Genomic DNA, 15675 nt, shown 5'->3' with positions numbered 1-15675 from the left:
AATAGTCCCCTCCTAATGACCTCTAAGCTATAAGCAACAAAAACCATACATTTACTTCCGCTACTATGACTCAATTTCAGAATTGTCTTTGTAGCGATTTTTTCTTGCTGAAGTAAGTCAATAAAACTTACTCTACTGATACAGTAACAAGTTTCTTTACTTATGGAGGGAGCTTTCCACAATTTGAAGATTCAACAAGACTCAGCTGAGACCCTCATGCTTGTGCACATATCTTTCAAGGACAGTTTCACCTGTTCACCTCAAGTTTTCTGGAATTCAGTGGAGAGGTGAGTCGCATGTTCTGTCTGAGCTCGGATTTTGTTATGTTCCACATCAGAGTGTATGTTATTCTGGGAAAATTTGATTTCACCCATTACAGTCTTTGTTACTTTAAACAGACTTGCCTTTGAGGTAGCTGGTCTGAAATTGTCCTAAATGATCCCTTCTCCTGATCTTCATGCCCTTGTGCAGTCCTGTCCCATTGAATGTGGGCTGGACAGGGTAGCTTGACTCTAATTAACAGAATAAAGCAAAGTGATATGATATCACTTCCCAGGTTAGGTTAGAAAAAGATTATGACATTTCTTGAGAGAGACAGGGTTCTTTCTCACTCAACTTTAAGTGAAGACAGCTGCCGTGTTATGAGCTGCCCTATTGAGAGGCCCAGGTGGCCAGGAATTGGTTTCTCCAGCTAGCAAATCAGTGAGGGACTGGGGCCTGCCAAGAGCCACATGAGTGAGCCTGGAAGTGGATGCTTCCCTACTTGAGCTTCGAGGAGACTGCAGCTTCAGGGGACAATGCCATTGCAATTGCAACCTGAGTCACAGGTGATCCGCTAAGCCGCGTTCGGATTTCTCACCCACAAAATCTGGAAGGTACTGTTTATTGTTTTAAGTTGCTGATTTGGGGGGTTAATTTGTTAATATAAATAGATAAATAATACATATTTCAGTACCTGAAATATGACCTGAAAGTGGAGGTCTTGTATTCAGGTACGGAAATACACATTTCAGTACCTGAAAGTGGAGTGCTGCTATATAAAAATCTAAAATGTGGGATGGTGTTGGGGCTGGATATTGGGCTTTGAAGAGAGTGTTCGTGAAAACATAAAATGCTTTGAATTCGCTGTTAAAAACATGGACATTGAAGATACATCAGGTCTCAAAAAAGAAGTGAGGTATTGAAAACTAGAGAAAGGTTGAGGGGAGGGTGTTCCTTATTATATATACATATATATAGCAGTAGGGATCTTGGCAATACTATTTACTGCCTGCAGTAACATGGAATGTAGAAAATGTGACTTATAAACTGGGTGATCTAGCTAGACTTCCAAACGAAGTGTTGAAGGCACTGCCTGGTTTCTTCGTGCTGTTTCTAATAAAAAGGGAAGAGAGATAGAAAAATTGAGGGAAAGAATGTTAAAGCTCATGTTATGAGCTGCCCTATTGAGAGGCCTAGGTGGCAAGGAATTGGTGTCTCCAGCTAGTTAAAGACAGCCAGGACTTGTGGTGTTTGTTTGTTTGTTTATTTATTTATTTATTTATTTTTATTTTTTATTTTCAGCTTATTCCAGATGGTAGATGTTAAAATTAAGAATATATGATGAGGCCGGGCATAATGGCTTGTGCCTGTAATCCCAGCACTTTGGGAGGGCAAGGTGGAGAGATCACCTGAGGTTAACAGTTTGAAACCAGCCTGGCCAACATGGCAAAACTCTTTCTCTACAAAAATTAGCCAGGCGTGGCGGCTCATGCCTGTAATCCCAGCTACTTAGGAGGCTGAGGCAGGAGAATCATTTGAACCCGGACAGCGGAGGTTGCAGTGAGCCGAGATCACGCCACTGCACTCCAGCCTGGGCAACAGAGCAAGAGTCTGTCTCCAAAAAAAAAAAAAGAGAGAGAGAAAAGAAATATATGGTGAGACAAAAATTAAATCCAGGATGCTGACAGGAAAACATGAGATAAAATCAAGAGAATGACCCTAAAATCTTTTGTTAAGAGCTATATGATAAACGCACCTGAGAGTAATAAGTTACGTAAGCCCTCAGAATAAGAGTATGGCAGACACACCTGAATGTGTGTTCCAAGGTAGGGAAGTCAGGAATGACCAACCTAAAATTTCGTTCCTTATGTATGAGGAACATCTAAGAACGTGGCCCACCCAGTGGAACAAGAGCTGTGTAGGGGATTGAGGCCCTGAGTTTGGGTTAAAAGATGGCTATGATGAAGAGGTTCATAAGTAGAGGGTGATAAATGAAAATGCTGTTTGTAAGCCATTGTGGCTTTCCTGACCAGCCCACCACCACTGGGCCATGCAATTATCTTGCCCAGTTCACCACCAACGGACTACATGTAAGATGGATATCTTGTCCAGCCCTTCACTACAGCCTGCCACCACTGGACTGTAGTCTGCTGCCACTGGACTATAAGTAAGGTGGTTAGCTCATCCAGCCCACCACCACTGGTGTGTGTGTAAGATAGATATCTTGTCCAGTCTGCCACCACTGGACTGTAGGTGAGGTGGTTATTTTGCCCAGCCCACTGCCACTGGACTATCGGTAAGGCAGATATCCTGTCCAGCCTGTTGCTACTGGACTATGTAAGGTGGCCACTGTCACTGGACTGTTCACTGGCGTGCTCACTGGACTGGCTGTTATCTTGTCCAGCCTGCACCACTGGACTGTATATAAGGTGATTTTTCTATGTAGCCTACTGCCACTGGACTCCCTCGCCTCTGTGTAAGCCCCTTATAAAACCACATGTCTCATTTGCTGGCTCCAAATCTCTTCTTTGTCCTCTTGAACCTGGTAACTTCCCTATTGAGGTTAATAGGGGTTCAGCACAAGAGCTTTAGGAGTTATTTGGCTACACCCAGGCCATTTGCTTTTCTCAAGGAAGAGATAATTGGCACACTACTCTTAAATGGCACCTACACTGCAGTGGTGTGTTATTTTTACAAGGGAAGTCAAGCCTTCACCTGTTTCCCTCACTTTAACTTACCTTGTGCCTGCAGGGTAATTGTCAGAGACTTCAGAAATCCAAGATCCTGGGTCCCTTTTTGGACATTGTGTCATTGAGGCATGTCCCTAGGAACATGTAAGATGAAGCCATGATAGGCTATTCAGGACAGTTACCCAGAGGAAATATTGATTCACTTTTTATGCACAACATCTGGGTAATGGTTTCTACAATGAGGGTTATATAATTGGAATAGGTGACCAGAAATTTATTGTTAACCTTGTCCGAAGTTTTAAAGAACACTTTCACAGCTCTCAAAGCTGAATGATGAGTCTCAACTATTTGACTCACGTGAAATAGAAAATCTGGTAGCTTTAGACTTTCTACTAGCCAGTCATGATGGTATCTGTGCCATTACTGGCAATCTGTGTTACACATGAATAAATACTATTAGCCAAGTACAATGCTCTTCTAAACTGAGGGGGTCAGCCACTTGACTCTCCAAGGAATATCCTCCTAGATTCTAGACATATTTTCTTGTCCTGGGTTCAGTAATTTCTGTATATGGCTTGGAGGCATTCTGCAAAGTTCAGTCTTCACTCTTCTACTTTGTGTGCATCTTCAATCTTCCATGCTTCCGTGCAGCCACTGTCACATCAGATGATCGAAAATCTCATCCCTTAACAAAATACACAAAATAATAGACACTGATTTAAGTTTAGACACTCTAAACCTTAAAAAAAAAAGATGATAATATCAGGGCTCATGACAGTGATGTAAATCTGGAATGATACTGCTTTTGTGGCCAACCCTTTGGCCTGGCGAAAAGACGGCCAAAAGCTGTTGAGACCAGAACTAGAAAGACCACCTCCTGTTGTCACTTGTGTGATTAGAACCACAAAATATCTTATGAATTTCATAACACTTTCATCTTTGCTCAGAATCTCACCTAGTTGCATAAGTCTTTAAAAAATCAACCAGTTCAAAGATTTGCTCTCCTTTTATCCCAATCTATTACCTTTCTGAGTTTAATCCATAAGAAATAAAAATTGTATATGCACTTCCTGTAATGAGATGCCAATTTAGAGTTGATTCCTTATGTTCTCTCTTGCCAAAGTAAGTGAATGAAAGCCAGTTTGCTTACATCATAATAGCTTTCATTTAAGGCACAGGCTTTCAACTTTGTGTCACTGAAAATATCTAAAGTTAATTTACCGTGTAATTATCTAAATTATGCTTTTCAAAGTTTCTGTGCATCTTCGGTTGTTGGTTGGTATTGTAATTTTTCTTGTCATTTTGTCCAAAAAGAAGTTTTTGAAGGAGTAGTGACATCACGAGTTGTGAATAAACACAGTCTTACACTTAAAATTTTTTAAAATTGTTTAAAAATTCAACCTTCAACCCATTGTTAATTTTGTCACTAGTGCTAAATAATTAGTTGTAATAACTTCCCCTTAATACACTTATTTTAATGTTGTATAGATAAGACCTCTGTTTGTGATTGATCTGTGATATTAGTTCAATACCTAGACCCTCATATTAAAAAAAATTACTATGCCATATAATCCTAAATATTTAAACCAATTCACAATTCATTAAGGACCAAATATGGGTCTAGCGCTGCTCTATATTTAATATGCGGTACAAGAGAAATACAGATAACTTCTCCTTCAAGGTCGATAATTTTGTTAAAAACAGAAAATAAAGGTACATGAACCAATGACCAGTTTTGGGTTTTCATAGGATCAACCATCTTTGAGGTGAAAGACTGTTGAAGCACATGGTGATGACTCACCAAAATTGAATCATAGCAATACCAGTACAATTATCAGTGTTTTATGTTTTTCTTTTCATAGATTGTTTAAAATATTTCTGATTTGGAGGCTTCAGGAGTAAACACAATTGGTGAAATTTTTATTTTAGATTACCTAACAAAGTAACTATGCTTCTTTTATGAAAGTTTAAGTTGATTCTTTTTGAATCAATTTTGAATCTTTTTGAATCCGTTTTATGTATTTTTTTTTTCTCCTTGGACCACGTTTTTCTTCATTAAGTGTACTGGCATACTATCAGATCAGAAATCTCTGCCAAATGGAGTTTCTGAAGATTTACTTCTCCAAGTCTTCATTTCAGATTCACTTTTCATCCCTTGCTAATACTAATTTCCTGCTTGCTTCCTGCCATGGCTTTTCTTGACTATATGGTGGTGTTAAAAAAAAAAAAAAGTATTACCATTCCAGTATAGGTGTAGTTGTAAGAGTTTAAGAATCTTTTCACATAAACACTTTGGCAAGACAATGAACAAGGAGTTGGAAAAAATAGTAACTGTCAGAAAAGTTAAATATATAGTCACAGTAGGTCATTTTGTACTCTACTCAAAGTTCAAATAGGCCAGAGAATGTTTTTATGCTGAATTAATCCTGTCCTATCAAATGGAGACCAAATCCCCAGGAAGTCTGATTATGTAGCATGCAGGCATATGCTAAGAGGCCAATTGACTGCTTTCTCAGGTTATGATCATCATTAATGATAATGGACATTCTATTCTAGGACTGAGGGAAGGGTGTAACTTTTTATTGTCTATTCATGCCGCTGAAAATAAGAGACATTCATATGGGGGAAATTAGGAGCATCTCAGGGAAGGTGGTTGGAGAAGGTCAATTCAGCATGGTAAAAGAAATAACATCCGACCACTCAAAAGCGTTTGGCTGGCCTGTGAGTTGGGGAAGATGTTTTGACAGATAAACAGTTTGCCACTTTCCTATATTATTCGAGTGCTTTCAATATATTCTTTCCATAGAAATTAGTTTTCTTTCTGTGTTCCTTCATCTGTCCTAGGTAAAATGGTGAAGTGAAGTGAGTTTTACAAAGCTTTCTACAGGGAAAACTAAGGGACAAGCTGGAGAACACAAACCCTTTGTCTTGAATGGCCTGGTGTGTCCAATTGTGTCCCCAGAGGGTGTGTTATGGCTCCAGAAGACCCAGAACTGAGTGGGGTCAGATAGTATCTAGAGAAGTATTTGTGCAATCAATGAGCTGAGGAGAAAAAAAATTGAAAGCTATAGCAGAGCATTGCATGAAATCAGAGGCCTGGGGAAACTGGCTCACCTCTCACACTGAAGGGAAGAAGCAAGAACATAAATGAACGATTCTCAGAATCTCTCTCTCTTTTTAAAGTTTACCATTTTAAATGAGATAATTTGACTTGAGTGAGAGAACTGAAGTCAAAATCAAGGAGTCATCTATATCCTAGCAAAGCTCTCCATGCATAAAAGTTTGAGAAAATGGGAAGACAAGCGAGGAGTGGAACTGGTAAGATCAGGCAAATTGGGCTTCAAGCATCAAGTAGGACATTTCTACACAACTTATCAGAGATTAGGATTTGGTTGTGTGTGAGTGAAAGAAACCTCCCAAATAACAGTGGCCAAAACAGGTTAGAAGTATATTTCTGTTTCACATAAGAGTCTGGGTTGGCACATCAAGGCGTAAATAATATAGTGTTTGGGGCCAAAGATTCTTCTCTTTGTGTCCTACTTGGTGTTATGTCATCTGTGTTTCCAGCAGTGGAAAACATGAAGACAAGGGGAACATACAATAATTCTTAAGAAAGAGTCTGTGAAAATGTCACAAAGCAGTTCTGCTCACCTCCCACTGGCCAGAACATAGTCATATGACCATACTCAGCAAAAAAAAAAAAAATGGCTCTGAGAAATGTATTCTTATTCTTGTAAACCATATGCCCTATTAAAATAAAAAGAGAGAACATTATTTTACCAAGGAATAAAAAGAAAAAACTCTTAGAAAATTTACTACAGAGCTAAACTGGATCGAATGCATTGTAATCACATGACCTAGCAAATTGTCCACTGAAAAAATAGAAAATGATTCATAGCCTACATAGGGAGGGGCAAATGGAATGTTTCAATTATCAGGGACTCTCCCTGTCTTTCAGAAGGAGCTGGAAATCACGGGGGACAAACGATAATGAGAGAATTCAAGTCAAAATTAGGGAGCTGTTCATTACCTGGTACAGTTCTCTGTGCTTTTAGCAAACCAGCCTCCAGTGGTCAAGCATCCAAGAGCGTCTTACTTACTGTGGACCATTCTAGGAGTTTGAAACAGAGGTTCAGTCCTCATAACTTAATATTCATGAAACACAGAGCACAGTGGGAAATAACTTGAATTCATCCCTCATATGGCATTTAAACATGTACAAATCCAATTGGAAAACTTGGTTTTCCCTAAGGAGATTGAACTGAAGAAAAACTGAAACCTCTTAAAAGAAAAATTTCTGTGAGTTAAGGAATCTGGAGAAATGCTGTCAAAACAATGGTCCCAAATAAGGTGTGAAACACATCAGACCAACTCCTCCTTTCCTACCTGCAGAGTGCCATACTTGCTTGAAAGGGGTGGGTTTCCATCTCAGGGAAATGTCTCTGCATTCAGGGACCAATGCTCACTTTCTGAGCTCCCCTGACAGAACTGGTGATAGGTAGTGCAAGGTGTTTGCCCTCTACAGGGGAAAAGAGAACTAAAAATTAACAGCAGAAGGTCAAAAAAGCCCTGGCGGTGAAATAAACAGAAACCTATTAGAAACAAAATCCCAAGTGATGAGAGCCGTGGATATCAGAGCAGAATTGCTGTGGGGCTGCATATGACAGGTTTGAAAATCCCAATCATTTCCGGCAACCATAGACTCTGAGAGAGAAATATTTGGGAATGAGATTGCTAGAACATTTCAGACTTCTGAATAATTGGTCTGGCCTCAAAACCTTGGTATTTGGATTGTGATTATATATACACATATATATATCTATATACATATATATCTATGTACATATATATATACATATATATGTAGATATATATATCTATACATATATATCTATGTAGGTATATATATCTATACATATATATCTATAGACATATATCTATGTGTATATATACATATATATACACATATATATATATATAGTGTGTGTGTGTGTGTGGTTTTTTTTTTTTTGAGACACAGTCTCACTCTGTCGCCAGGCTGAAGTACAGGGGTGCGATCTTGGCTCACTGCAGCCTCCACCTGCTGGGCTCAAGGGATTCTCCTACCTCAGCCTCCCAAGTAGCTGGGATTACAGGTGTGCACCACCACCCCAGCTAATTTTGTATTTTTAATAGAGAAGGGATTTCACTATGTGGGCCAGGCTGGTCTCGAACTCCTGGCCTCAAGTGATCCATCTGCCTCAACCTCCCAAAGTGCTGGGATTATAGGTGTGAACCACTGCACCTGGCCCCAGATAGTGCTTTAAAGGTGACTAATGTTCATTGATGGGACACAGCAGAAGCAATGCAGATTAAAATAAGAATGAGGCAAAAAAAAAACAAAACTGATCTATCAGAATTCAGGTGGGAGCAGTCAAGATGAGGGTAGGAAGCAAAAGCATTTGAGAATTAGAGACTAAATTATTTAGATCCCTTGCCTAGAAATTTGAAATGAACGCTAGAACAGACTCATCTGGCAATGACATCCTGGTGTTCTGTTCAGCATACCACGGTATTCATTAAACGAGAAAGTAAATGGAAGGGCTATGAAATGCCCAAAGTATAGCCAGCTCTCAATTCCTGTAGAAAAAAAAAAACCATGTGCACATGTTACTGGGGCCATAGGATGGAAGTTCTTCAGTCAAATACGCATTGGGAATTAGGCATATTTGGATGTAAGCAGTCAATGTTTTGGGTAACACAAAAATCATGTGATTAGGGCAGGTGACTGGATCTTGAAAATATGCACTGACTCTTAGGAATAAGCTTCCTATAATGAGGAATAAGATCAATAAGAAATATGATTGACAGGAAATGACCCTCTCACCCCTCTACAAAGAAATTAAGTTTAGGTATGCAAGCCAAAGATAACTAATGAATACTAAGCTTAATACCTACCTGGGTGATGAAATAATCTGTACCACAAACCCCCATGACACACGTTTACCTATGTGACAAACCTGCACATGTACCCGTGAACTTACAATAAAAGTTTAAAAATAACACAAAACAAGGAACATGGGTTAGAGATGAAAGCACACATTGAATCTGTAGAAGCATAGTGACAGTTTGTTTTCCAGTCCACTGAACACTCTAAGGTTAATTTTTTCTGTAAACATTTAAATTTTGTCCTTTCTTTTGAAAGTAGTTTTGCTGGCTTCACAATCTAAGTTGGCCAATATTATTAAATTACTTTTCTTTCACTTTTACTGTTGGGAACTCTGCTGTCATTCTATTTGTTTTTCTTTCTTAGGTGATCTCTTTTTTTCTCTGACTTTTTAAAAGATATTTTTGTCTTTAGGGCCTTCTGACATTTGATTTCAATATATAGGCAGGTTTTATGAAGACAAGTGAATTTATTACTTTTGATTGGTGCTGTATAACTTAAGTCATTACTTTTTAAAAATATTACTTCTAATATGTCCTTCCAGCATTCCAAGTATATGAGCTAATAGGTTCAATCTGTCTTATGTAGCTCTTAGGCTCATTTTTGAATTTATCATCTTTTCCTTAGTGCTACATTCTGGATAATTTATTCACATATGTATTCCAGCTCATTTATTTTATCTTTAGCTATGTCTAATCTGCTGTGATTTTTCTTTTTCTTTCAACAATTATATTTTTATTTTGAAGAGAAACTTTATTGTGTATATTTAAAGTATACAATATGATGTTACTGCATATAGATAGTAAAATGGTTACCATAGTGAAGCAAATTAACATATCTATGATATCGCATAGTCATTTTGATTTTTCTTTTTAAGCAAGCAGCTAAAATCTACTTTTTTAGCAGGAATCCCAAATACAGTATAAGTTTGTCAACTACAGTCTTCATGTTGTACGTTAGATCTCTAGACTTATTCGGCCTATATATCTGCTACTTTATAACCTCTAAGTTACATCTCCCCACCCCACTCCTGGTAACCACTGTTTTCTCTGTTTCTATGTATTTGGCTCTTTTTTTCTTTCAGAGCACATATATAAGCGAGATCATGAAATATTTTCCTTTGTGTCTGGTTTATTTCACTTAGCATAATGTTTTCTAGGTTTATCAAGTTGCAGCAAATGGCAGGCTCTCCCTTTTTATGGCTGAATAATATTCCTATATATATGTGTGTGTGTGTGTGTGTATGTGTGTATACACACATACCCATTCATCTGTTGATGGACACTTTGATTGTTTCCATGTCTTGGCAGCTATGAATAGTAATACAGTGAAAGTGGAAGTGAAGATATCTTTATGGGATGGTAATCTTATTTCCAATAAGTTTATGCCCAGAAGAGGGATTCATAGGACACAAAAACCCCTAGGAGAAAACACAGGGGGAAAGCCCCTTGGCATTGGCCTTGGTAATGATTTTTGGATATCATAAGAAAAGCTCAGACTACAAAAGCAAAAACAAATGAGACTACCTCAAACTAAAAATGCTTCTGCACAGCTAAAGAAACAATTATCAAAAAGAAATGGCAGCTTACAGATTGGTAAAAAAAATTTGCAAACCATATAACTGATAAGGGATTTATATCCAAAATACACAAAGAACTTATACAACTCAATAGTAGAAAAGCAAATAACCTGATTTAAAAATGGGTAAAGGACCTGGATAGGCATTTCTCCAAAGAAGAAATAAAAATGGTCAACAGTTTTATGAGAAGATGCTCAGCATCATTAATCACTAAGGAAGTGCAAATCAAAATGACTTTAAGATATAACCTTACACTCATTAAGATGGCTTTTATCAAAGAGTCAAGAGATGACAAATATTGGTGAGGGTATGGAGAAAAGGAATGTACCCAGCGTTGATGGGAATGTAGATTGGTGCTGCCATTATGGCAAATAGCATGGAGGTTCATAAATAAAAAATAGAATTACCATATATTTCTTATTTTGAGTGCTTTGTAGTTTGTAACTCTGAGATCATTACTTTACATTTGCTGTCTTTTGGGCCTATATTAAGAAATATTTCTGTTTACAACAATTCTTTTCCAACTATAATATCCATCAGAACCACCTGAATAATTTACTGAAATATAGATTATAATTCAATAGATCTGGGTTGGGACCTAAGAGTCTGGGTTTCTAACCTGCTCACAGATGATGCCTCTGCTCTTGGTCCTCAGACCACACTTGGAGTAGCATGAAGTTATATTTGCTTCAGCTTCGGTGTCTGCTGGAAGCCAGAAGATTCTACCTAGAAACTGGGTCCAATTAACCATCTCCCTTGACCTGAAACAGTACAGGTAACTGCCCTACCACACAATTAGCTCAAAGCTCATTATCCTGATCACACCAATGGCATTGTAGTTGGCTCTCAGAAAAATCCTGCATCTCCCATATGAAAATAAGAGATGTTAAGAGTTACTTCTGTTAGAACAGTGATACCATAAAACATGTATTCTATACAATACATGATGTATTGATGCAGGAAGGCCCTTTAGAGCACACTGCCAGTCATGGTGCCAGAAACAAAAGTTTGGTTTACTTTTAAAAATACTTTAAAAAATAAAATAGGGGTCATAATGGAGCCATATCTAGTTGTTGTCACAACAGTCAGTGGAGACAATAGTCTGAAGAGCACTGATAATAATAAAAGGCTGTAGAAATGTACGGTGATAATTTTTCATGATTATTGATATAGTTTGGATATTTGCCCCACCCAAATCTCATGTTAAAATGTAATTCTCACTGTTGGAGGTGGAACCTGGTGAGAGGTGATTGAAGCATGAGGGTGGATCCTTCATGAATGATTTAGCACCATCCTCTTGATGCTGTCCTCACTATAGTGAGTTTTCTCTAGACTGGTTGTTAAAAAGTGTGCAGCACTTCCCCGACCCCCTCCTTGCTCCTACTTTCACCATGTGATGAGCCTGCTTCCCTTTTGCCTTCCACCATGATTAGAAGCTTCCTGAGGCCTCTGCTTCTGTGGAGGCCACTATGTTTCTTGTACGATCTGTAGAACTGTGAGCCAGTTAAAACTCTTTAAAAAATAAATAAATCACCCAGTCTCAGGTATTTCTTTACAGTAATTTAAGAATGGTCTAATATGGCTGAGTGCAGTGCCTCACGCCTGTAATCTTAACACTTTGGGAGGCTGAGGCAGGTGGATTACCTGAGGCCAGGATTTCGAGACCAGCCTGGCCAACATGGTGAAAACCCGTCTCTACTAAAAATACAAAAATGAGCCAGGTGAGGTGGTGGAAGCCTGTAGTCCCCAGCTACTTGGAAGGCTGAGGCAGGAGAATCACTTGAACCCAGAGGGCAGAGGAGAAAGAGTGAAACTTTGTCTCAAAAAAAAAAAAAAAGTGTGACCTAATACAATTCTCTTTCTTTCTCCATAATGAACAGACAAATTATGCAGTGCTGTCATAAGACAAAATAGTACTTGGTCTCTCTGTTTCCCATATATGGTCTTTGAACTGAGACATTTCCTTTTGGCCTTTTTTTATTCTCCTGTCAATTTTGATGATATTTAAGCTCTCAAAACAACAGTGGCAAACTTATTTTACCTTAAATGTTATTTTTACAACAGTTTTTCTCCATTTTATAAAATTCATATTACTCAGAGGATGCAAATTACCCAGTGAGACATAGTGAAATATTTCATAATGAAATATGACCATAGCACTGAGTTGGGATAATTTATATTTAGCAGTACCTTTGCTCCAAAAATGTCTCTACATGCCTGCTTTAAACAATGTGTTAGCTGATAAACACTGTCTACTAGGTTGAGGCAAAGCAATGTTATACCCATTTATAGCACAGGTACGCTAAGGTGTGTGCAATTCAAATTGGTAGCTCACCCAAGCTGCAAAACAATATTACATATATAAAAGCTTGTTTTTAGCAGCTAACTAGCAGGTCCTCTAATGCATGCCAGGTGTGGTACTCTCTGCTCTCCAATCCACCCAGTCATTAAAACATTGCTGAGAGCATATTTCTCTCCACTAGAGTTTTCCTAGGGGTTCTATCCAGGTGCATGAAATAGTTAGGAGGACCACATATGCATTTGCATTAAAATTAGTTTCTGATTTGCATATCATTTACATACTCCTACACAGACTGTGTCATCTATTCTTAGGAAGCTTTTCAAACATTATTTATTGCTACCATTAAGGTTGACACTTCTTGATTTTTCTCTTTTAATTTCATCCTCACCCCATCTTTGACCTTAGAGTTTGACATCAAAGAAATACACAAAGATGGTGATGATGAAGAGAGAGAGTAAAAGCTTTCTGCTAGGTTGTAGTGTGAAGAACACAAGACATATTTCAAAGAAACATTCATCTACAGATCCAAATTATACACTGCTTTTTTTTCTTTTTCTGGGAGAGGTAGAGTTGAGATCTCTCTCTGATGGGAGAAAGGAGGTAAACGAATGTTAATATTGTAGTATGTGAACTCAAAAACACTTGATGGAGTGATTCATTTATTTAATAATATTTATGGAACACTATAATGGTCAAGGACTTTACTAGGTAATGGACATACAACAGTGAGAAAAACATAGTCTTTAAAAATACCTGTTCTCATAGTTTATATTCTAGTTGCCAAGAAGTGGGTTGGAAGAGGGCAGACAAAGCAATAAATGAGCAATATACAGAGAGTTTCAGAGAGTGATCAATTTTAGGGACAAAAATAAGGTAATGAAGGGGGATAAAGAACATAAAATATTGAGATAGGGAGGTTACAGTTTCAAACAGAGTGATCAGAGAAGATATCTTTGAGACGTATTTGCTGTCAATAAAAACCTAAAGGAGATAAGAAAGCAATCTATGCTGACATCCAAGAAAACATAAGTGTTTTTGGAAATTCACTGATGAACGTATTAAAGTGAAAATTTCTGGGCTTATTCCCCAAAGATCTGATGTAGGGGGTCTGGGGTGAATTCCAGTTATCTAAATTTTATTACTAATCACAAGAGATTCTAATGTAGAAAGTCCTCATTTGTGAAGCACTGATTAGGTGTGACATAGCGAAATTCTTGATTTTGTGGGCATGTTATTGCAGAAGAGTTTCATTGTTATTTGAGATATCACATTTCTGAAAGCATTCTTAGAAAAATAAACACATTGTAATGCACACAAAAGTAAAAATTGGGAAATATTTTGAAATATTTCGTTGTTTTTAAAATCTGATATCTTATATACACAGTGCCATTAAATAGTAGCAGGCTAACACAAATGGAATATAAGGTCCAATTTCAGTCTTAAACAGAAATTTATTCATCAAAGATTGACTATTTCAAATAATATACTCCAGAAATACAAGTTTCTTTGTTCAGTTTCTGGTTGACTTAAATATTTACATTCTTTCCTTCTTTCATTCATCATCTCATTAATGTAATAAATGTTGGAAACTTTCTAGATGGCAAAAACCTTGCTAGATGCTGATAAGCCAAGATGAATCAGTCTAAATCCCTGGAGAAACAGAGTATCTATCTCCCTAATAAAGCTCCTTGAATAGTGCTAAGGAAAGGATTTCTTCTACCTGAAATATTTGAGGAAGGGCTTATAGGGAGTAGAGAGCTGAATTTTGAAAAGCAATTTAGAGTATTACCAGGCATAATAGGTGTGCCTGCTTGTTCAGGGCGAATGTGGGGAGGTTGCACGGAAGAAGCGCAGGTGGTTAAAGAACACTGAAAGCAGAGGAAAACTAAGCAAAGGTATGATGTTTTAATCACTTTCACATTCAGAGAAAGGTCGATAGTTTTTTTTTGTAGCAAGGCATACCACATTGGTCTTAGGTCACGTTGTTATAATGAAACACCATATGCTGAGAACATGAGCAACAAAAATTTATTTTATGGAGGCTAGGAAGTCAAAGATCCATGTGCCAGGTGATTCCCCTTTTAGTGAGGGTCTTCCTGGCTTGCAGGTGGCACCTTTTGCAATGTCCTTGCATGCTGGAGCTAGCAATCTCTCTTTTCTTCCTTTTGTAAAGCCATTAATCCCAATGATGGTTGCAGCGGCCCATTTGGAGCAGCCTGCAGGGATGCCAGCTTCAGCAGGGGAGGTCCTGCTGGGGCAGCAGGCTCCCTGGAGTTTGCAGGGTTCAGCACAGGTGGGAGTCATGCCCCCTAGGGAGTTGGTGGGGCAGGAGGCCTGTACTTGTGGGCACAGCTGCAGCTGCCCAACTGAGGCTCCAGACCCAGGCATTCCTGCGTGCTGTCTGGGTGGGAAGCACCCCCTTCCTCCCTCAGGCTCGGAAGTGCTTGCTCCTGCTCCCAGGCCTCCCAACACCCTGTGTCCTCTCTGGTGCAGAGCAAACTTGCAGCTGACCCTGGATGCTGTCGAAACACGGCTGGGTGTGCATGCACTCAGGATGGCACTGACACGCCAGTCCCCTGGTCCCTCTGGAGTTGGTCCTCTCTGGACTTTGGCCAGACTTTGGGAGGCGGGTTGTTATGTTGGTGGGGAGGCACTGAGGGAGGCTTGGCATGGGCCTGCAGGCAACCCTCTATGGTGGGAGGCAGACAGGACGGGAAGGTACGGTCCCTGTCGAAACTCCACTTTGGTCAGAAATGGCCTGAAGCCTGGGGACCTGGGTGCCAGTTCTGGTTGACCTTCTCATTCAGCGAGGACTTCCTTGATGACCATTCAGACTGTTGGATGATGCTTTTTCCAGGCCTGCCCATGGCTGCCCCTGAACCAATCAGCATGCACTTCTTCCCTTCTGAGCCCATAA

The 15675-nt window shown here is 38.9% G+C and overlaps 1 annotated feature.

Annotated features, from left to right (window-relative positions):
• Positions 14718–15217: an enhancer, noted in NCBI's record as "H3K4me1 hESC enhancer chr2:49999711-50000210 (GRCh37/hg19 assembly coordinates)". NCBI's record gives its function as "activates a minimal SCP1, AML or CMV promoter by ChIP-STARR-seq in primed H9 embryonic stem cells {active_cell/tissue: H9 hESC(primed)}" and the evidence as "EXISTENCE:reporter gene assay evidence [ECO:0000049][PMID:30033119]".

Source organism: Homo sapiens, chromosome 2 (genome assembly GCF_000001405.40).
Source record: "Homo sapiens chromosome 2, GRCh38.p14 Primary Assembly".
NCBI classification, from domain to species: Eukaryota; Metazoa; Chordata; class Mammalia; order Primates; family Hominidae; genus Homo; species Homo sapiens.
The sequence above is the reverse complement of the archived record's forward strand: the minus strand, read 5'-3'. Positions and strand labels throughout refer to the sequence as shown.